The 23135-nt window shown below is 38.8% G+C and overlaps 1 protein-coding gene across 36 annotated transcripts in view, besides 4 other annotated features; it reads left to right on the top strand.

Annotated features, from left to right (window-relative positions):
- ARID1B (AT-rich interaction domain 1B) overlaps positions 1-23135 on the top strand; it is a 434754-nt gene that overhangs the window by 158779 nt on the left and 252840 nt on the right. For 35 of the 36 annotated variants that reach the window (NM_001371656.1, XM_011535984.3, XM_017011105.3 and 32 more), the window contains one exon: positions 662-772. In NM_001371656.1, coding sequence (NP_001358585.1) covers positions 662-772 — 111 coding nt within the window. Of the gene's footprint in view, positions 1-661; positions 773-1697; positions 1917-23135 lie in introns of those variants that run through there. The other variant, NM_001438492.1, reaches the window with a different exon arrangement.
- Positions 7227-7728: an enhancer, noted in NCBI's record as "H3K4me1 hESC enhancer chr6:157263165-157263666 (GRCh37/hg19 assembly coordinates)". NCBI's record gives its function as "activates a minimal SCP1, AML or CMV promoter by ChIP-STARR-seq in naive H9 embryonic stem cells {active_cell/tissue: H9 hESC(naive)}" and the evidence as "EXISTENCE:reporter gene assay evidence [ECO:0000049][PMID:30033119]".
- Positions 9651-9945: a silencer, noted in NCBI's record as "tiled region #494; HepG2 Repressive non-DNase unmatched - State 23:Low, and K562 Repressive non-DNase unmatched - State 23:Low". NCBI's record gives its function as "represses a minimal TATA promoter and a strong SV40 promoter by Sharpr-MPRA in HepG2 and K562 cells {active_cell/tissue: HepG2 | K562}" and the evidence as "EXISTENCE:reporter gene assay evidence [ECO:0000049][PMID:27701403]".
- Positions 10429-11157: an enhancer, noted in NCBI's record as "H3K27ac-H3K4me1 hESC enhancer chr6:157266367-157267095 (GRCh37/hg19 assembly coordinates)". NCBI's record gives its function as "activates a minimal SCP1, AML or CMV promoter by ChIP-STARR-seq in primed H9 embryonic stem cells {active_cell/tissue: H9 hESC(primed)}" and the evidence as "EXISTENCE:reporter gene assay evidence [ECO:0000049][PMID:30033119]".
- Positions 11158-11885: an enhancer, noted in NCBI's record as "H3K27ac-H3K4me1 hESC enhancer chr6:157267096-157267823 (GRCh37/hg19 assembly coordinates)". NCBI's record gives its function as "activates a minimal SCP1, AML or CMV promoter by ChIP-STARR-seq in primed H9 embryonic stem cells {active_cell/tissue: H9 hESC(primed)}" and the evidence as "EXISTENCE:reporter gene assay evidence [ECO:0000049][PMID:30033119]".

The following is a 23135-nucleotide window of genomic DNA, read 5'->3' on the forward strand; positions in this document are numbered from 1 at the left end:
TGGTTTGGCTACAGCTGACCTCCCTCCCTGTTTTTATGAACTAGTCTTCTTCCTGCAAAACTCAAATACAGTACTTGGTATGGTCTCATAATAAATTTAGTTGTTAATTATATATATATATATATATATATATATATATATATATATATATATATATAGTTTATATTTCTGCTGTTATTCACTGCTTTTTAAAATTTTTGCTTCTGATAATGTATTAAATTATAGCCATAACATATTTATATGCCTGCTAAAATGTAACAGTTGTTGGTTGTGATAAGCTTTTGTTTTGTTTTGTTCTGTTTTGTTTGACACAGGGTCTCGCTCTGTCACCCAGGCTGGAGTGCAGCGGTGCAGTCAAAGTTCACTGCAGCCTCCACCTCCAGGCTCAAGCTATCCTCCCACCTCAGCCTCCCAAGTAGCTGCACCACCACACTCGGCTAATTTTTTATTATTTTTGTAGAGATGGAGTCTCCCTACATTGCCCAGGCTGGTCTTGAACTCCTGGGCTCAAGCGATCTGCCTGCCTTGATCTCCCGAAGTGCTGGGATTACAGGCATGAGCCACTGTGCCCAGCCAAGCTTTTGTTTAATTTTAGTTACTGAAGAAGCTTATAACTCATTGAGATATTTATGAAGTGCTTTGTGTTTGTGTTTTTTTTTAGGACATGTCTCAGGAAGGCTATGGAACTAGATCTCAACCTCCTCTGGCCCCCGGAAAACCTAACCATGAAGACTTGAACTTAATACAGCAAGAAAGACCATCAAGTTTACCAGTAAGACATTATTGTGCTGATTTGGAAATGTAATGAGTTAAAGACTTTTAGAAAGAGCTGTTGTTTTTGTTTGTTCTACTTTATATTATGACATGATTGAGAAGTTTCTAGACTTCAGGTTTATTTTGTGGTCAATTTTTCAAGGTTTACCTTTTAGGAGCTCTGTAGTCCTGGATAAGTCTATTTCATGTGTATATATCTCTGTTGCAGAGTGTAGACATCAGTTGGAAGGTTTTATGCGGCTGGTCGATTTTGTGTGCAGGTGGTTATTGCTGTTGTACAGTTGAGCTTTCTTTAGGCTGTTGCTTTTTGGCAGCGATACAGAACAGAGGTGTCCTTAGAGGAGTCAAAACTTAAAAGAAATTTGCACTTTGCAAAGGATACAAATGATGAGATAAAATACCTGATAGTAATTTGAATTTCTTCTAGGACTTTCTATTTATGTAATGAGAAATCACCCAAAAGAAGGTAGTTTGAAATTTGAGGCCAGACGCGGTGGCTCACGCCTGTAATCCCAGCTCTTTGGGAGGCCAAGGTGGGCGGATCACTTGAGGTCGGGAGTTCAAGACCAGCCTGACCAACATGGAGAAACCCTATCTCTACTAAAAATACAAAATTAGCCAGGTGTGGTGGTGCCTGCCTGTAATCCCAGCTACTCGGAATGCTGAGGCAGGAGAATCGCTTGAACCCAGGAGGCAGAGGTTGTGGTGAGCCGAGATCACGCCATTGCACTTCAGCCTGGGCAACAAGAGCGAAACTTCATCTCAAAAAAAAAAAAAAAAAAATTGACAAAGCTGTTTATTTCCACCAATAAATAGTATATGGTGATTGGGGTTTCTATTTATAAGAGTAGTGGCTATTATATGGGGTATCATGTTGATGCTCATAAATAGTTCATATCTACTTAATTTGCCTTCTTTTATAGAGAACCTAATTTAAAGGAAGTCTTCTTTATTAACTAAAAGAATAAATCTGCAGGAGGCTGAGGCAGGAGAATCACTTGAACCCAGGAGGCGGAGGTTGCAGTGAGCCGAGATTGCACCACTGCACTCCAGTCTGGGAAACAGAGCGAGACTCCATCTCAAAAAAAAAAAAAAAAAAAAGAATAAATCTATACCAATAAATATTTTTACATTTATTTGAAGAATTGTTGTCATTGCCTAGTTTCTATGGAGAAGGTTTGTTTTAAGATGGGAATTCAGTATAGCCATGATTTTAATTGGAATTTCAACTATGTTTGCATTAACTTAGATTTATTACTTCTAAACATTTGAGAACAGACATTTGTAGTGAATGTTAAACATGACATTTGACATGCGTACCATACCATATACATTTTAATGTATATGCAGATTTAGAGAAGGTAAGTGATGACCACAGGATGTCTACTGTCTTTGAATCTGATGGATATATTTTTGAAACTCTAATTTTTATACCTTTTACTTTTATGTGAGAGAGGGTGAAATCTTATTGTGGTGTTTTTCCCCCCCCCTTTAGTAGTGTTAATGTATTTGTTGTCTAGGTATTTGGTTTTGAAGGAGGGAAATAGGTAATGGATTTTGTGTTGTATGCTGCTAAACTTTCTGTAGCAGATAGTTCGCAGCTTGGTAAGCATGTAGTGTGTACGTGTGTGAGAGAGAGAGAAGGAGAGAGACAGAGGCATGCATGCTGTCGATAAATACTACATTTGCCAAGTATTTGGAAATTAGCTTTTGTGGTTCTATGAAATTTAAATAGATGCATGGGAAGCAGGTAAACAGTGAATTCCACTTTTTTCAGCAGTTTTTTAGTGGTTTTGGAGAGGTTCGACCTTGTAGATTTGTCATTGGCTGATGATTTTGTACTGTGACACAGGTTGGTAAATTTGTCATAAATGGATGCAGATTTTCTGCATAGCTATAAAAATAGTTTGTGGTAAACTGCTTTCTTCATATCTACTCAGAAACTTCAGCATCACTCACTAGTGCGTGCCTTTTGCCATGGATCTGTGTTGGATTGGATGGTTGACATTCAGCTAACTCTACAGTGTTATTAGGGATGGCATGAAGTATTGTAGTTTCAGATAACTGACTGAAGAGTTTGGTCTGGGATAGGAGCTTTTAAGTTGATTGCTGGAAGAGTGGATGAAGGCATTTAGGAGATGAACGAATATAGTCATCAACTGTTTAAATGTTTTCTGAATTGTTCTATTTCTGTCTTGTTATGTATGTATAACAGCTATCTTCCTTAACCTTTATCTTGCCTACTTCCCAAAAGTATTTAAAGTTGTCCATAATGTAAGTTTTTTTTTTAATGAAATACCCCAATTGGTATTTTCTTTCCGTTTTTGTAACTCACAGATAAATAAGATGCTGGTTGACTCAATAGTACTTCAAACACATTTCAATAATCTTTAGAGAGCAGAGTTTCCAGGTTTTATGTTAAGTATGTAGAAGATTCAGTTACTGAATAAAGGACAAACTGTAAGATAACCTGCTACACCTAAAACCCCCAATCTGTTAGGATGAAATTTGGCTGTAGTTAAATGAAATTTATTGCACCACTTTTTTTTTTTTCCACGAGGGCTTTGCATGTGTAAAAACTTTCTGTATGGGGCTTACAAATATTTTAATTTATGTGGATACTTATAATAAGTTGCACACAGCTAAGGTCATTGTGGTTTCAGGGAATGATTTGTTGATACTCTGTTACGGCTCTAATAGTCTGTATTTTACAATGTTACTTTTATTAGATACTGTAGTCCTCTAACTTGGCTGGGTTGATTCTGGAGAGCCCATGAAGCTGTATTTGTTATCACATCTGAATTTGCTGTTGGATCCTTTGTAGATTTACTGTTGTGCTATGGTTTTCCTTTTCAGGTGTCAGGGATATAAATTTTGTCTTTTCACCTACAGTCAATCCATGATATTTGAAACCTGTAGTTTTGTAATTTGGAATTAAGTATATTGTGTTATCTGTACCATTTATGAAATGCAACATAGTGATTCTAATGTGTAATTATTCTGTTCATTTTATGTAATGACGATGACAAGAATGCCTCTCAAGTAGTAATTTCTTAGTCTTTTTGCTTACAGATAGGTTTGTAATGTTTCTGCATGTGATATTTTCTACCTGTATCCTAAGTAGATTTTTCTTTAGCATGTTTGTTACAATGTAACAACTTTGCATTATAAGAAATCAAGGCATTTCCAATATCTTTATGCTACATCTATACTTTGATCCCTCAGCAAGTTGTCCTCACTGTTGTGTGAACCTGTTTTTCTATATTTGCATGCCATTAAATTCTTGATGACCTTCAGTAGGCAATGCAGTTATGTTTTCCAGCTAACTTAGATAGACCTTCACATCATCTGCAGAAGGCAAATGATTGATAAATTAATAACTTGTTCTCTCGTTATCTTGGAGCCATGACCAGTCATATTTACTTTTTGCTTAGTGGACTCAGACCTAAGCACTGAACAAATCCTCCTTAATATCGTCCACTTATTTCTATACCTCTTAGTCGTACAGCATTTCCCTGTTTAGTTGTATTAGTTTATACATCCTTGGTATTACTGTTATTGATAAATCTTAACATTGAAGAGCTCTCTTTCTTAGACTATTATCACTTAAAATTTGAGCACATTTAGCTTTCACGACCTCTAATATTGGTATGAAATAAACCTAGCATTTAAGCTAAAGACACAGTGGAATGTCTAAAAGATGCTGTCAGTTACTTATTTTCTTGTTTCATAAACATTGGATATCCCTCAATTTATATTCCAAGATAGCCCTCAAATATGATTTAATACACTTTTTGTTGAGTGTTCTGTTAAATTTTCACCTCTTGTGGCATTTATTATTTATCCTTTTATTATAGTTATCCTGAACATTGTCTTCGCTCCCCTATTTCACTAGAAGCTTTTCATGGTATTTATTATGTCCTATTCAGTAAATATTTTCCTCAAAAATTTCTATAAAAATTATTTTAAAATAAATTATTTCCTCATTTTCAGAATTTTCTTTTAATTGCTAAGGGATCTGTTAGGTGGCATTGAATGGCTCTCGGGGCACCTGTGCTCTCTGTGCTGGTGCTGCTGAGTGATTAAATGGGTGGATGTCTGCATCGCCAGGTGGGTGTTATTCTTAAAATGATTCTATTTTACCAAGTGACATTTGGATTTACTTTGGTAACCATAGCTTTAGGAAAAGAAGTGGACACTTTGGATAATTAAGCTAAAAATACCCTAAAAGCATTCTGTTCTTAGTAATACATCTTTTTTACTTATAAAAAATTAATTGACAGAAATGGTAATCATAAGTTCAGTAATTATATTACAGATGGGTAGTTAATAAAATATTCGTAAACATGTATAAAGGGAAGTAAACATGAAAAAGGAAAAAGTTTTATTTTCTTATAAAACACTATATAAGCACTTTCTTATAGTGCTTTTCCCTCCAGGGATCTGAAGAGTTGTTAATATTCCTCAGTTTAAAAATAACTAATTTGTTTTATTCTTCAGAGAGGCATGCTGCTAGCTTTGTATTTCAGATAGGAGGTTCATTATTCTGTTTACCTAAGATATAGAATACAATCAGTTTGGAATACAATCAGTTTGGCAGTCATACTCTAAGAGCGTTTGAAAATGGACTGCTTTGTTAGGACTTTGTGAAATATTTCTATAAATATTGGCTGTTCTAGAAGGCTCATCAGGTCATTAAAAACCTCTTTGTGACCCTTTCTTCCTTAAATAGGAAATATCTAAAGAGGTTGGCATGAAAACGGTTTGATCTTTCTGAGTTAACTAAAAATCCCTGAATGTGTTGAATAGTGCTTATGGCACTTTTGTTGAGTTTGCAATTAGACGGAAATATTGGGCTTTAGATAAAACATATGTTTTTTGGCTCTTTGTGAAAGGAAGGAGGTAGTAAATGCTGGTCGTTCTTTGAAATAGAGGGTGTTAAACAGGATATTGGAAGCCTGAAAGAGAATGGTTGGAAAACTTTTATTACCAAGAATATTCTTGGGGCTTGGCTATTAGCCGCAGAGCATGCAGCGTTCTGCCTTTAATTCAAGAAGAATACTCTGTTTGTGTTGGTTTTTGTTTCTTAATCTTTAATGACACTTACGTTGGTTAGTGGCAAAAGGTCATGTGTTTTGGAAGCATGTTTGAATATTGCTGACATTCATATGGATGTTCTAAGCATGTAGATTTGATAATACTGTGAATGATTGGAAACTACCGGGAAAAGCTTTTTAACTGGGTTCAGCTTTTTGCTAGTTCTCAGTCCAACCCAGCTAGAAATGTAAATTGCTAAGACCATCTGAACCTGTGAGCTGGCAGGTTTTGGCAAAAGTTAAAATCTACCAGGTAAGAATTAGGTGTATGGCTATTGAATGAAGTATTTTGAAACCTTTTTATTTGAGGTTGATTTAAATGGTTGTCATTAAAAGGTTAAGAGTGGAGCTGTCTTCCGTTGATTGATCCTTCTCAAATCCTTATGAACATTAAAAAAATTATAAGTTAATGAAGGAAAACCCATATCTGTCATCAGGCTTATCTCAGTGTTCAGGCATGGATGATGCCTGTGTGTTGCTGAAGACTTAAGCTGTTTATTATCAGTATTCTCAAAATGTTATTAGGCTATGTTGAGTTTTAGAGTTTCAGAGAAAATACTTTATAAAATGGAAGCCTCCTGTGCCAGGGAGGAAGAGGAGGTTCTCTGAAGGATGGTGCCCTGTCCCCCAGAACAGCTACAGGCATACCTTATCATCTGCATCGTTTCAAAACCAAAGGTACAGATGCATTTTGATGTCTTGGGGAAGTTTTAAAGGGAACATGCAATACTTCAGCTTCTTAGGATTCATCAAGTTCTTGAACATAATTTTCATCACTGGTCTGTTCTATCTGGAGATATCAGTTATTTTTGGATTAAGATTAAGAGCATTTCAGGACCTTGCTGGAAAACCTGAATTTAGAAAATATGATAGTGACTCTGACAGATGTTTATTTTCCAAAATGGATTATTTCTTTAGGATGTGATATCCTGTGATTTTATTCCCTAGGATATTTTCATGATATTGATAGTCATTTTGAAAATAGAGGATAATGCTTGAACTTGAACAAGGTAGGAAGCAGGAAGGTATGTCTGTCTCCTTCTTTCAAAACAATCTTCCATTTAAATATTTGTTCTGTAAATGAAAATTCAATAAAACCTTAACAGTTTGGAATTCTTCCAGGAAAAAACAGGCTAAATATAATGGAAAGTCTGAATAAATTAATATTGAGAAAGAACTATAGTTTGCTTTTAAATAATTCAGATGTTTGTGTGCAAAGTGTTTCTAAGTTGACATACTCAGTTCCCGTTAAAATAAAATTCTGAATTCGTCATAGCTGAGATATTTGCTTAGTGGTAATGTTTTAATTTTAAGAATTTGTTTAATTTTTTAAAATACATTTCAACTAAGCATGCCCCTGAAAACTTTTTCATATAGTATTCTGAAGATTTCCATTTAAAATATGGGGGAAATGAATTTCAACCCATTTTATAGGAGTGTCAATTAGTTCCTAAAAAATTAATGAAGGAGTATGAAGGAGTACTATAAAAAAATAGACACTAGACAAAATTGGAGATTAAGAGAGGCTGAAGCATAACTGATTTGCAGGATATTGGTTTTGATAATAGAAGGATAAGGATGATCTATAGTTGATAAATGAGGCTCATTAAGTAAGAGATGATAAATGCAGATATTCCTGGCTAATAGAAAAGTCAGCATACAAATTTTGCCATAACAAGTGAGGGATGGGCAGGCTTTGACCAGCTTGCAGCTCTTCCAGTGACCTCTGTGAGGCCACGGAGCTCTTCTGTGGTCTGGATGCCTGGGCCACAGAGGCAGCGTGGACCCCATGGGCCTCAGGCCAGCAGAAGGGGGAGCCAGAGTGGGTCTCAGGGAGTCTAGAGCCACCTAGAGCAGAGCTTACAAGGAGCTCCACAATGGTGCAGAGGCCAGGGCAGGACTGCAGCTCCTGCAAGTGTAACTTTTTATTTTTTATGCTAAAAAGAAAAAAAAAAAAACACATGACTCTAATGTTCTGAGGTCCCTCTTCTCACCCTAGCCTGCACTTCTGGTTTTGGCATGGCAGTGCCTGCCATGTTGGGCTAGATGCCACCATCTTCACCCACCCATCCTCCTCCTCCTATTGCTTCTCCTGGGCATTGGGATCTGCTGCCTCCAGCTCCTGCAGGCAATGGCCAGTGTGAGGCGTTGAATGCATTCTACTTTATATTATCCAAGTTAGGTGGGAAATAGCTTTTAATTTACAGATTTTCACTTCGCAGGTAACTCTGAAGGCACACATCTGTTTTATATAACAAGGGATATATAACCAGCAGGAGCTCATAGTAGCATTTGTAGACTGGTTATTTGCTTTTATGTTTCTTTGGGACTGGAAGTAACAATTTTTAATGTTAACTGTCAGTTTAGGAGAGGAAATAAATACATGTAGAGAAGGTTCTACCTGAGCCAAAATTTCCCATTCTTCCCTCACAATGTAGGATTTTAGAGGTGTCTCTCTTGTTTTCTCATCTTTTTCTTTTGCCTTCTCTAAATTGTTGTAAAATAACTGAATGGTCTTGTTTTCCTTTGTTTGGGTCAAGAAATTTTAGCGGAAAATTGTTACTGTGTGAAAGAAGATTATTGACTCAACAAGCCTTCAATTTTCCGTGAATAACACTCCCACCCCCTAGCTTCAGGAACATGCCGTGCGTGCATTCTATTTTAAAATATAGACTGTAATTTAAAACAGGCATTTTGATGCCCCACTGAACTTTGTTTAAGCCTGGAATAAAAGAGGAGAAAAAAGCTGTAAGCCACAAAAAAGTGACTAAGCTTTCTCAACTACTTTTCTTCATAATGCATTCTTTAAAAAAAAAAAAAAAGCATGTTGGTACGATTGTCTCTTTCCACAGGACCGAAATTGTACCCAATTTTAGATCATGGTGTGCACATCTTTCTACTTGGTTCGTGATTGAGATACCATTTACATTTTTCAGTGCACAGGTTTGTATTTGTTGCTGTCTGTATGCATGCATCTGTGCATATGGTACGTGTTCATTGCATGTGAGAATATTCTAAAATTACGTATATCATTTTTAGCACTCACTTACTAATAGCTAATTTTTTAGAGCTCTTGATTTAACCTGATTATTAGACTGAAATGAAATAAATATTTAACTACAATTTTATTTACCATCGGGTCATTGTAAAAATTGTGATTTGAAAGTAGTTTATATTACTTGCCTTTTTTCCTCCTCACAAAAATGAAAATAAACAGCTTATAATGACTTGTATGGAAGAAACAATTGCTTTACTGTTTTTATAAAATAATATGTTTTGGCTGGGAGACCTATTCTAATCGCCACACTGAATGCCAACAGGGCAGACTCTCAGCTAAGGTTCTGGCCTTGAGCAATACACGTCATTTCTCAGAGCTTCTGTTTCTTTGAAAAATGAGTAAGTTAGATTTAGGAAACTCTAGCACCTTCTAGCTCCAAAATTTTACATTAAAAGCCATCTTTGTTAGTGTATGAGAAAAAGCACTGATAAAAACGGGCCCTTTGCATTTGGGAAAAAGTCAGTGGAGTGAGTAAAGTGCGGGTACATTGAAATCTTCAGAAACGGCTCCTGTGTGCTGCTTGGTGGCCTCTCTTCCATTCTCCGATGCCATTTGCTTTTGTAGCAGGGACACTTGAACTTATTGAGGGATTTGGGGTTGCCTTACTGAGTATATAATCTTACTATGCAGGCCATTGGAGAGCCGCAGACCTTCCTGTGGTCTCCCTCTTCTTGTTCATCCTAGAGATTCCAGAGGTCCTCCTTCCTCTCCTGTATGATCAGTTTGGGAGCCGTGATGTCGTTGCATATAGGGAAGTCTAGGGAAAAGGAAAAAACTTCATGGGAAAGGGAAGGGGGAGGCAGAACAACCAACCAGCCAACCAAATAAATGAAAAAGCTGCAGGACGCCGAAATCTTTGTAATGCAAAGGCTAATGCCAACCGGATGGTTTTCTGAACCAAGTTGATCATGTGGCAGTTGCTTTTCATTTCTTGGTGGGGGAAGGAAGGCCCTAAGGGCATGTATCTGAGGCCTCCCTTCACCTCCAAACCTCAGGTTTACATTTGTTATACTAAAAAGTCATTCATAAACACACTATGCTTTTTAAACCGAGATTGACATGAATGGAAGTAGTAGCAACCCAGAGACATGAAAAACCACTGTTCGTCTTTAATGAAACCCAAGCTGTTTTCCTGGAGAATGCCTCCTGCATCCCCTGCAAGCTTTTTCTTCTTCTTCTTCTTTTTCTTTTCCTTTTTTTTTTTTTTTGAGACGGAGTCTCGCTGTGTCGCCCAGGCTGGAGTGTAGTGGCTCGATCTCGGCTCACTGCAACCTCTGCCTCCCAGGTTCCTGCCATTCTCCTGCCTCAGCCTCCCGAGTAGCTGGGACTACAGGCACTTGCCACCAAGTCGGGCTAATTTTTTTGTATATTTTTTTTTTTTTTTAGTAGAGACGGGGTTTCACCATGTTAGCCAGGATGGTCTTGATCTCCTGACCTTGTGATCCGCCCGCCTCTGCCACCCAAAGTACTGGGATGACCGGTGTGAGCCCCCGCATCCGGCTTTTTTTTTTTTTTTTTTTTTTTTTTTTTTTTTTTGTGAGTGTTTAGAGCTCACTGGTTTTGATCTGGGTAGAGTGGTGTGTTACAGTTCTCATTTTTACTTGTTTTCTCACTGCTCTTTCTGTCAGAGCACAAAATGGTATGCACTGAGGCAGTGGCAGAAGCCATGTCCGCTCCTCAGGCAGATGTCCTCTCTAAAGCAGGCCACAGTGAGCCTGGGGACCACCGAGTGTGCTGCGGCCTCCTGGCACCTGTGCCTGCAGATTCTTTCCTGTTTTTAGAATTTCCTGACTTGCGTAGGTAGGGATCTCCCTGAGTCTTTCTTTTCCCCATGGGCATGGGTGGTTGAGCTGTGCAGTGAGTCAGTCCACACCTGGGGAAAATGTGTAGTTGGTCTTTTGGAATTATGCTGTACCCGGAAAAAGTTTGGCTTTAGAATGGTAATATGACACTTCATTCATTGGACACTATTTTTGAAAGTCTGGTTGTATATAAATGAAAATAGTGTCTGGGCATGGTGGCCCAGCACTTTGGAAAGCCATGAGTGGGCAGATTTCTTGAGCCTAGGAGCTTGAGACCGGCCTGGCCAACATGGTGAAACCCCATCTTCACTAAAAATACAAAAATTACCTGGGTGTGGTAGGGCATGCCTGTGGTCTGAACTACTTTGTGAGGCCGATGTGGGAGGATGGCTTGAGCCTGAGAGATGGAGGCTGCAGTGAGCAGTGATCACGTCACTGTACTCCAGCCTGGGCAACAGAGCAAGACCCTGTCTCAACAACGACAAAGGTGAAAATATTAGTTAATGGACACTAGAAACTGCTAGTAAAAGAAGAATAATGGGCCAGGCGTGGTGGCTCATGCCTTTAATCCCAGCACTTCAGGAGGCCAAGGCGGGCAGACCACTTGAGGTCAGGAGTTCAAGACCAGCCTGGCCAACATGGTGAAACCCCGTCTCTACTAAAAATACGAAAAAAAAAAAAAAAAATGTTCGCCGGGCATGGCAGTGCACGCCTGTTATCCCAGCTGCTCGGGAGGCTGAGGCAAGAGAATTGCTTGAACCTGGGAGGTGGAGGTTGCCGTGAGCCGAGATTGTGCCATTGCACTCCAGTCTGGGCGACAGAGTGAGACTCCATCTCAAAAAATAAAAAATAAATAATAAATAAATAAATAAATATGCCCATTAGTGAGTGTCCAAGATAGAGGTGTGTGAATTTTAAAGACAGGGCTTCCTGACATCTATGTGCCTGCCTAAAGCCCACTCCATTCTTCTATAGTATTTCGAAAGTCTAGAGCTTTCAGGTTACTAAGCGCATTGTAACGCCCTTTTAACATATGCAAAACTTCATTTTCGAAATGCTGTCATGACCCTGGAGCAGGGACACAACTTGAGAGTGTTAGCTCAGCGATGCTGTGAAATTGTGGTGGCAGTGGGAGTGCAGAGGAAGAAAATTGTTGGAATAGAGGGAGGGAGGGAGGGAAGGAGGATAGATGCTTTTGAGGTTTTTAATCTGTGTGACCAGGATGTGTTGGTGGCGTTGCTGACAAACACAGGGAAACGGTGGTGGGAAGAGAAAGGAATGCCCAGAGATTTTTATGAGAGTAAAGCAAGTCCTGAATAACTGCTCAAATCCTGTAACATCTAAAAGGAAGCAACTCACTCATCTTTGCTACTAAAGCCTTATTTCTTATATAGTTCTTTATAGAAGTAAAACATTGTCATAAATTAGAATTGATGTTGAAATATTGATGGCATTGGCTATAACTTTGCATTTCATTTAAATTTTTGGAGATGATTTGAAGGGTATTGTAGCAGACTGTGTATAAACAACTCCACACATCATCCCAGAGTGTCTCTAACTGTAACTGGGACTAGGGCAAGAGCACAGTCCCAAGATAAAAATTGAAACTCTGTAGTTCAGTTGGGACTCAGGCTAGTCTTATTTTCTTTGCTTTTAGGATAGTGCAGTAAATTTCTATCCAAATAGGTTCCTTTCCTTGGGTAAAGACAAGTTACTTTGTATTTCTTTGTTTGATATATACTTTTGAATGATTTGGGCTACATTCTTACTTTAGTTCATTTTGGAGGAATATTTCTTAGTTTAATTTGTCTCATTATTAATTCCTCCTTCTCTGAAACTTTTTGGGGATATAGGTATGTATGGCATAGTCTACAAATTTAATGCCTTTACTTGTTTTTTTCTTTTTTGCAGATGTAGGGCGTGTGAGTATGGGGCGATGGTGCAGGGAACCTTGCTTTAACATGCTATTTTGAAAGATATCCCCTTTTATTTTGTAGAAATGGGTTACCACGTTGAGCACCAGGAGTTTCTTGTACATTTGGATCCTAGCAGAGGAAATGGGACTTTAGAAAGATTACTCTGAACTCTGAAGGGCTAATTTAAAAAAAAAAAAAAAATCAAGCCCCTCCCCCTATTTTTTCTTCATTTTTAAAAAGGCCTGTCATTTTACTCCAGGAAATGACAAAGAAAAGAGCAAAGGTTTTGCTTTAGGGATGAAGGGAAAAACTTTTGGCTTAATTTGTTTAAAAAATTCTTTTTGTATAAGCTAAAGATGAAACATATTACAGTTGCCAAGGGCAATTAATGAAACAAGAAAAATTAAAATTAATGATTTCTTAACATGCATGTATTTTTATATATTTAATTTGATTTGGATTATTTTTGAGCTGTAATTTCCAGCTACGAAAACAGAGACTCCAGAATGGCAGGACAGCTGAACAGTGGTGGAATAGTGGTCTGTCTGGAGCTTGTTCCAGTCATGACAGCAGCTCCTTCAGGCACCTGCTCCTGAGCATGGTGCCACCATGGTGTCCTGTGAGCTTTTTCAAAGCTAAAACAGTCTCTCCTTTTAAATAAAAAAACTATTTTGCTAATTTTGATTAAAGTTAGGGGTATTCTTGAATAAATACAAATGTGGTCAAATTTCCCCAAATGTGTTTGCTTTTCATAGTTGCTGCATTTATTTATTTATTTCTATTTAATATGTTTTTGAGACAGAGTCTTGCTCTGTCACCTACGCTGGAGTGCAAGGGCATGATCATAGCCTTGAACGCCTAGACTCAGCCTCCCACCTCAGCCTCTCGAGTAGCTGGAACTATAGGCGTGTGCCACCACGCCTGGCTAATTTTTAAATTTCTTATAGAGATGGGGGGGCAGTGGGTGGTGGGGGTGGAGGGTGTCTCACTCTGTTGCCAGGCTGGTGTTGAACTCCTGGCCTCATGTGGTCCTCCCACCTCTGCCGCCCGCCCAAGTGCTGGAATTGCAGATGTGAGCCACAGTGCCCAGCCCCATAGTTGCTGCATTTATGCCTTTCTTTAGCCAGCATGCCTAAATGTTGACATCCTCAATTAAGACACAGTATCTTGTCTTTTCCACATCTCAATGATGCAGAAAAATTCAGTTATGTTTAGTAATCATTTATTGTGTCTAATGTCTAAGATTTTATATTAGATGTAAAGAAAAATAAATAAAAAATCAAATTATTTCACTGGCTTATTAATGTCTGTTCTTTCCCATAACACATTCAGGAATAAGAAAAGAAATCCTCAACAGAAAATATCTACTTTTGGGATACTGGTTACTGAAAATACTTTAACATCTTTTTTCATTTTATCTTCAGAGAACCACGTACCTATAGTTGCAGAATTCATACTTTCAGCACATATAATTTCACAGAAGTGTTTTGCCATCTTGTGGAAGTCTTGACTATTTGAAAGTTTAAGAGCAGCAATGGCTATGACACAACTGTGGTCAGAGCTTTTTATACAAGACATTCAGGTGGCATTGAGTCACGTCTTATCAGTGCTGGTGATTTCAGAGGAAGAGAACACTGCCTTCCAAGTCTCCCAACCCTTTTGTGAACACCTGGTGTAGAAGAGTAATGTTTATGCTGGCTTTCTTGAGTGGCTTCATGAGGATTTTATTATTTTTACTACTTTTTTTGCTGACTTAATTGGCATTTTCTATGTTTTATAGGGATAAAAACATCTTTCATATAATTCTGGCCTGTTTTAGGGGTATCAGATATATATATCTAAATATGCACGTTGTTGTTTGACAAAGAACATTTCACACCTAATTGAGCTTTTCAGCCGGGATACTCCACCTAGAGTACTTTGCACATACATGAGATCTAAGGTTCATAAACCACTTTGGCAGTGCCTGCCACATTCACAAGTGTCCACTGAATGTCAATTTCTTGCCTTTTCTTTGCCCTCCTCCTTTTGTGAAATGATATTTGGCTTCCAGGGCCTGTCAGGGCTGCCGGTGCACCACACTTCCCTGAGATTCAGCATTCCTTTCCTATGAGCAAGGAACTGGAACAGGCGGCTGACTCTTGTCTAAATCAGATCCCCAGGACTCCTAGCCTGTGACTTCATTGCTGAACCCCAATGCTGCAGTACTCTTTGGATGCAGAGAATGTTGGTGTAAATGCCACTGAGGTTCTTCTGCATCCATTTTATTTCATGTTCCTCAGTTTTATATTTTTTATATTTTATCAGTTTTACCCTGCACAGAAGAACATAAAGAAGAGAAAACTACATTAATAAACCTTGTGTTTTTAAGAATTTCCCCAGTATTACGCTGCCATTTTTGGTTTGTTGAGCTACCAAAAACTAAACTATGGGGACGAGTGAAGATGAAGGGGTGAAATCCTCTAGGTTTTAATACATTTTAATTAATTATTCCTAACAAGTGAATTATTTCTAACTTGTGAATTATTTCTAACTCCTTAGGAATAATTATAGGTGTATAGTTTGGACAATTAAAATATGTTGATAATTCGGAAATGTGATGTTAGTGACTAGTGTTAGACTAATCTGCACCCCAGCTTTATCCTCAGAGTCGGTTGGTAGCATAGTGGCTGCAGTGATTGGGGTTCACCCTCCCTTGCTCATTTCAGCTCATGGTATTACTAGTGAGTAGCAAGATCACCTAAAAGAAGGCAAAAGCAAAGGCATAGGTACAGATCTACTTGGTTTGCAGCAAATCTGCTTTAGGCAAACTCCTTACATTGCTCAAAGAGTTTTCAGAGTTTTGGTACAAACACCATATAACCGTAATAGGAGCAACCAGCCATGAAGGATAACACAGGTCTTTAGTGGAAGACCAAAGATGGTGAATCAGGTAGTATCACTAAATGCACTTTTAAGTCAAATACTTAATGTTGAAACTTTATTTAAAATATTATATAGGTTTGTGTATATATATGGGGATGTAAGAGAAAGGGACATGCCTAAATAATTACGTTAATATAGGAAATATACCTTTTTCAATTCTGCCTTCTTCCATCGCAGTTGATTAGATGACATTAAATGAATATGTTGTTGTGGGCCAGGTGGTATTTTGCGGGGGGGTAACAACCTGAAAGTTGTCCTGGTTTTTTAGCGCTGCTCTTTCCGAGTCTTATTTATTGAAGTTTAAACTATTCATAAGATCTAGTGGTAACTGCTGTAAAGGTAACTGGGGAAGTTATAGAGGAAATGACTATGACTTTACCGTTGCAAATAGATTAATGCACTTTACTTTTCCCCAACATTTTTATTGACTGTCCTGTCATATCCCTTCTTAAATCATACTTACTGTTACCAGTTTTACCTTTGAATTTACCTACAAACCTAATTTCTCATTAAAACAATAAAAATGTATGAAGTATAATATAATTGATGCAATTTTAGCCTCCCTAATGAATTTTTTAAAATACTCTGGTATTTTAATATAAAGTATTACCCAGATACTCTATAACTTAATGATCAAAATTTAAGAATTAATTTCTTTATAAAAGTGTTTAAAAATAGCTTGGATGAGGTATTCTTTCAACATGTATCCCTGAAAATTATAAATAAATGGTTATTTTTAAATATACCAGTGGCCACTTTTAACTGAAAGAGTCCTGGTGTGACAGAATGTTTCATATCCTATGATGTTTTTATATAGAATTTATAACCCTTGTGCTTCCAGAAAGGATTTGAGCTGACTTACAGTAAAACGTTTGTATAAACAAAGACTGCTCCAAGCGGATTACAAATTCTTAAAAAAGTTTGAAAAAGAGAGAAGCAAACAAACCATGATAATGCAGTTACTGATGAATAATGATTAAATTTAAGGCTACATTCCTGACTAGCAAAGTAAAGGGGAAAAATTGGGATTACCTAATTATTAAAGTAAAACACTTCATTTATTTTCTTTCTTTTTCTTTTTTTTTTGAAATGGAGTCTCGCTCTGTCATCCAGGCTGGAGTGCAGTGGTGCCATCTCGGCTCACTGCAAGCTCCACCTCCTGGGTTTACGCCATTCTTCTGCCTCAGCCTCCTGAGTAGCTGGGACTACAGGCGCCCGCCACCACGCCCAACTAATTTTTTGTGTTTTTAGTAGAGATGGGGTTTCACTGTATTAGCCAGGATGGTCTCAATCTCCTGACCTCGTGATCCGCCCGCCTCAGCCTTCCAAAGTGTTGGGATTACAGGTGTGAGCCACCGCACCTGGCCAACACTTCATTTCTTAAGAAAGGAATATTATTTTTCTTTTATTATATTGTAAAAGGAAATACTTTATAAAGGAATATATACTCTTTTGAAAATAGTGAATAATGAGTCCAAAATATGAGTTTTTAATATAGTGCTAAAAAAGTGGTTTCATGTTTGGGAAAATTATCAAAGGCCTAAATTAGGTGTCATGCCACATAAATGATTGAATAATTATCTGTTTTTGCTGTAACTTGCTTAACTACTTTGTTACTCTGTCCAAAGAAGTAGCTTATTGAACCCATTTTTATTTCACAATAATTTTTAAAAATAATTATTTTATAAGCATAAAACGTGTACCAGGGTGGAAACCCATTTAGTCAGGAAAGAGTTGAATTGTGAAGAGAGTGTTTTTTTATACATGTGTTTTTCTTTGTTTTGAGGGATAGGTGTGTGAGTGACATTTGTAATTTAGCTTGTTTTTCTGGGAAGAAGATTGCTGATCCTTGGGTTTAAAGATGAGGGCTCAAGATTAATTGATGAGACTAGTGATGGTCTAAATTTTACAGAACATGCATGCCACTAATAGCTTAATAGTTAGGATGATAACAGTTTGTGAGTGAATTTATGTGCTTTATTTTTCTCGAACTTACTGACTTTGAATACGTTATAAAATTGGAGCTGTGCTCCTAAGGAGTAACATGGAACTCCATCATAGGTCCACCTCCAGCAAAAGGCTAGCAGGGGTGGTGGGGACACTGAGGCTGGCTTGATTTCCCATCCTGCCCCCCATGGTTGGTCGTGGGAAGAAGGTCGGGCTGCCGTGGCTCCTGTGCACTTTGGTTGCTGAGAGTGGTTGTGGGCAGCAGGCCGGTGAGCAGTGGGGGCAGGGATCTTGACACCAGCCCTTGTTGGACTCCACACCCTTCTGACCATTCATCCACCTTTGGGAGTGGGGAGCAGGGTCTGTTGAAAGAGGCAGCCGTGTCATGCTCCTGTTAGTAAGGGAACTAGACTTTTTTGAGCCTAAAACCATACAAGAGAATTCAACAGAAAGAGAATTTAATGTATATATTCATTCTTGTAAAACAATAATATTGTAGTAAAACTTACATCTGTGTGTTTGCTGGCCAGGCTAGTCATTTATGACTTTCTTCGAGTAAGCGAAAATCCTTGGAGTCTGGCAATTCTTCCTTGTAGGGAATCTTCAAGAAGACTTTAGCTCCAACTTTATTCTTTTGTATTTCATTACCTCTGGGAAAATTACTAGCTGGGCATTTTGTGGCATTCTCAACCTCAACTCTAGGGCTAGTGCTTTTAAAATCTGGTCAACTGCGTAATTGTGAAACAGTACTGTGTCAGCTTTATGCACTTATTATTATTTTTTTAAGACACAAAAACTTACAAATTGGCAAATTGTTTTTCAGTGTTTTCCCCTTCACAGGGCTTTAAAAATATCTTGAGTATGTTGGGGTTAGATTGGGTGGTTGGAAAGCAAAGCTCCAAGTGCTAGAATGGACGGCTGCCCTCTGCAGCTTCAACACAGGGATCCACTCAGCCCCCTTAGCTGACTACTGGTGCTTAAAACGGTTTTTGACAAACGCCAGAGTTTCACAAATATAGAAGTAGCAGTTATAGAGGTGGTTTTGCAAGTCCCTTGGAACATTCATGCAGGTCTGCAGTCACTCTTAATTTGAATGAGAAAGAAGATGGTAGAAACTATTTTTATTTTCTCCTGGGAGCAAGAGAAAAGGAAGGCTAGAACTCTGTACTATGTAATTTTAAAAAAAGAAAAAAATCGGACTCCATTGAGATTCTTTCTTGTTTACTTTTTGTTTTACTCTCTCTGTCTCCTAGTATGTTTGACTAATGTAAGTCTTCCCCCAGGAATATGAGAATATGTGGTACCGTCCGCCTCATAACCTTCCTGGATATTTTTATAATTTATCATCAGCTGACACTGCTTGGGTAGAATATTCTTACCACTCCCTCTGGCTGCTGGAAGTCTGAAATTACATCTTTGTCTTTGAAGTCAGGCATACTGTTAGCGTTGCTATGGTGACAGGGTGGGTAATGGCCTCCGCAGACAGGAGATTGGTATTTAGCGTTTAAACACTGCTGTACACAAGGCCTTGATTTTTAGAGTGGTTACTGAACTATCCCCTTTTAGTAAATGTTTAAAAATTACATTTTTACATGGTCTTACTAGATTAATAGTCATGGTTTATTTCATTTTAACTGCAAGGATAAAAGCATTATTCCATTAAATGGGCAGCTTTTTTTTCTCTTTTGGTTTATGCATTATTAACACAGGCTTTCCTGTTTTGCTTGTAACATTTTATAGGCTTTTTCAAACACGCAGTCAGATTTGCTCTGTTGCTCCTTTATTTTTTGGACTTAGCCCATTATCTGCTTGATCTTGGACAATTTCAGAGGAGACAAAGTTCTAAGGAACTAAGCTTTTAAAATATTAAAAATGAAGTTCTTTTTTTTTTTTAATGTATGAGTGATAATATTGATCAAGATGTCTCTTTGGTTTCAAGTTTCTAGTTAGCCCCTTTCCTGAACTATACCCTCACATGAGATAGTAAAGGAAGGACAGTTTATGGTTCTGGAGAACTGTTGGACATTTTGAAAATGCTTTAGTTGATGTAACTTTCGAAGCAATATGCTCTGACATAGTCAGCCTGTGTGGAATGAGGCCGTTTGCACACACATACATATGATTTTTTTTTATCTGTGAGTATTTTGTCTTTAGAATAAAGATGAATCTTAATAGTTTGTATGGTATATACAAGTCCCTGTCTACCTGATACATAAACTGCTACTAAAACATCATTTTTAATGTCTTGTGATACAGAATTTATTACTTTATGAGGTATTTTATTTGTGGTAATTTAAATTGTTTAGGAAGTTTTTCCTTACATTAGCTCGAACTGTTTTTTTTGTTTGTTTTTTTAAATCCTGGTTCTACTTCTGCCTTCTTAAACCACACAAGGTAAATCTAAATCCTTCTTCTATATGACGGCTGTTCACGTATTTGAAGATAGTTTTCATTTACTAGGATTTCTTCTGGGCTATTAATAGTTACTTTAACTATTTCCCCCACTGTGTGGTCTCAAGTTCCCCTGCACCCTATTCTTAATTCCTTAATGAGCTTCATTTTTGTATAAGCACCTCTAAATGTGATATCCACAACCAAAGGGCAGGCTCCAAAGGCATGGCTGGCGGAGGCCACCTGGCCCGCTTTGTGTTGGACCGTCACGCTGCCGTGTATCGGAGGCGTCAGGGTCTGCAGGGCTTTGCGGCAGCTGCAGCCCACTCTTGCCACTGTGATGGGAGCTGCTCTGAAGGATACGTCTCATCCATCCTGCACCTGAGCTCAAGTGCTCATCGACCCTTCCTGGCTGCTGTTGGACTGGGTCGGGGCTGTTGTTCAAGCTTGCTAACGTGTGTTAGGATCCTGAATCTGGCATCTGTTGTATTTAGTGTAATTCCTACCTTTGTGTCCCCTCTGAATTTGTATCTCATGATAGCTCTTAATACAGAAAGTTAAATAGGCTAAATCCAGAGCTTTCTGACATTCTGGTTATTGCCATTCAACCAGGTGTGATAAACCTAGAGCTACTGTATGTTCCAGGCCATACATTACATATTAACCACAATCCTGTCCTAGAGACTTTATCTGAGGCTAGGTGGGGATCCAGAACAACGCTATAGTCCTTTCTGTATATGTTATAGTGCTGTCTTCCAGAATGACTTATTGTGGATTATATATGACTTCCAATGATGTAACACATATAAAGGCTCTGTAATAATTGAAAGTTATACATAATTTGCTATTGACATAATTTTATCTTTATCAAGTTTTCTACATGAGAGGAGAAAATCTACCTTTTAAGCTAGTTCACCTTGCCACCTGAGTGATACGCCTCAGCTCCTTCCCTGTGTCCAGGAGGAACAGCCAAGATAAACATCAAGAAAAGGTAGGAGAACCTATGCCCATCTCCAGAAGGGCCCTAGAAACAGAGCCTGGATGTCATGGGGTCCAAGGCAGAAGATACTCGCCCTGGACTTGGGATCTTAGAAATGAAGTAGCCCCATTTCAGGGGCCTAAGATTTTAGGGAGGAGGGCTGTTGGTCTCAGAAACCCTATCCTGTTAGGAAGGTTACTGGAGGCCGCTGGTGGTGGAAGCCGCGCCTGTTCTATTTCCTCACCTTCCTGTGTTCATCTGTGTATCTGCCAAGTGCCCTGTGCTTTGCTTTTTACCACCAACTGCTTGACAGCCGTCCAGGACTGCTGGGTTCTGGACATAAGGTCAGATAAAACTGGCCTAGTCTTTTCTAGGGATGTAAACCTTGGGGAAGACATGCACCAGTGGCCTGGTACTGGGGACAAGAGCAGGGCCTCTGCTTCTGTAGTGCACAGGGGCTGCCTCTAGCAGGGGAAGGAGGTGGGAGGCAAGTGGGCCACTCAGAAAAAGACATTCTTTTTTGAATGAGTCCCAGGTACTTTTGTGAGTTCATGGAGGCTGGCCCATAATTTCCACTCGGACTTGTCATAAACTCTCCCTGCTTCTTACCCCCACCCTTCTCTCAGAAGCCAGGACTCAGTGAGTTCTGGGCATGGGAACCTGGGAGGCAGAGCACTTACAAATGAAAATTTGGCAATAAGTTTTATAGACTGGAAAAAAATTGCTTCAGACCAGTGCTGGTAGCAGTGGAGTGGCAGATAGGAAATAGTCCTCTGGAGGTGGCCTCTAGGGACAGCAGCCCTTTCTGTGGTCAGTCCATAGACCCTCTGCTGGGTCACCATGGAGGCTTCTTTAACCAGCCTGCAGTTTCAGCTTGAGTTTGGGGTGAAGGGTGGATGACAGCTTCTTAGTCCACTGATATCTTAATGAGATTTCCATTCAGTGTATTTTGCATCTCCCTCCAAAAGGAAAAATATATGAGTGAATTTTGTTTATAGCATGTGTAGCAGGCAGGATGTTGCAGGGACTTTGGGATATTCTGGATCAGCACTGTCCAGTAGAACTTTCTGCAGTGATGAAAACAGTCCCTATCTGTGTTGTCCAGTATGTCAGCCACTTGCCATATATTGTTATATACCACCTGAAATATGGCTAGCAGAAGGAATTTTGCGTTTTAGTTAAATTTAAACACCCTCATGTGGCTAGTGCCGACCATACTGGACAGTGCAGTTCTAGATTATGGATCCCATATGGTCAGGATCTTATTACAGACTGAATTTGGTGAAAATAACAATGTTAGGTTAAGACTCTCAAATTCTTGGCATGTAAGTTATTGATTTGTAATGTATTCTGAGCTGGCATTTAAAATTACCTCATTTTTACAAGGATACAAGAGATTGAAGGAACAAATATATTTTAGATGTAGAGTTTATCTGTTGCAGGGTTTGGCATGTAGGCCAGGAACCAAGATTCCAGGAGTAAGAATGGCACACTTGGTGAAAGAGTGCTGTGCACTTGGATGCTGATTTACAAGTGACAGAGCCACTGTGTCCCACGTCTTTCTCCTTGCCTGTTTCTCTGGGTTTTCAGTTATCTATGTTTATTGGAAACAGTTATCACAGAGTTGAGTACCTTGAAGATCTCTTGTGGACATCCCCACTTCCTTCCCACATACTCACCAGTACCAGGGTCAGCTTCAGGTAGGAGGATGGCACAGACTCAAGGTCAAGCAGAGGTGTGAGCCACAGAAGCAGAGTAGCAGGCCAAGTTCCAGCATCCTGGCTGCCAGGACCACCGTGCAGGCTTAAGAAGCTGGAGCTTTAGGATATGGAGTGTCCATCACTTGGCATCTTTCTCATAGCCCAGGTGGCATCTGAGAATTAGGTTAGGGTTGATTTGGACCCTATGGTTTGGTAAATCATGTCCCTTGAATGTATACAAATGATGTCTGTTGATATTTAAAATATGTTTCTTTCTGTTTAATTGTAAAGGGGATCAGGAAGTCTTTTCTCCCACGAGTCTCAAATAATTTCATAGTTAGAATCTGGTAATTTCAGGCCAGCCTAGGGCTTTTCATGACTCTCACTTTTTAAGGCTGGTATCCTCATTTGCTGGATGAGTAGGGGTTCTGCTGATGGAGATAATGACACCAGGATACCCATGTGTTGAGTCCATCTTGCTGCCCCTTCCAAGCCCCCCAAACAACTGGAGTTCTGTATTCTGCTAGGGAATCTGTTATGTGGTGTA

Source organism: Homo sapiens, chromosome 6 (genome assembly GCF_000001405.40).
Source record: "Homo sapiens chromosome 6, GRCh38.p14 Primary Assembly".
NCBI classification, from domain to species: Eukaryota; Metazoa; Chordata; class Mammalia; order Primates; family Hominidae; genus Homo; species Homo sapiens.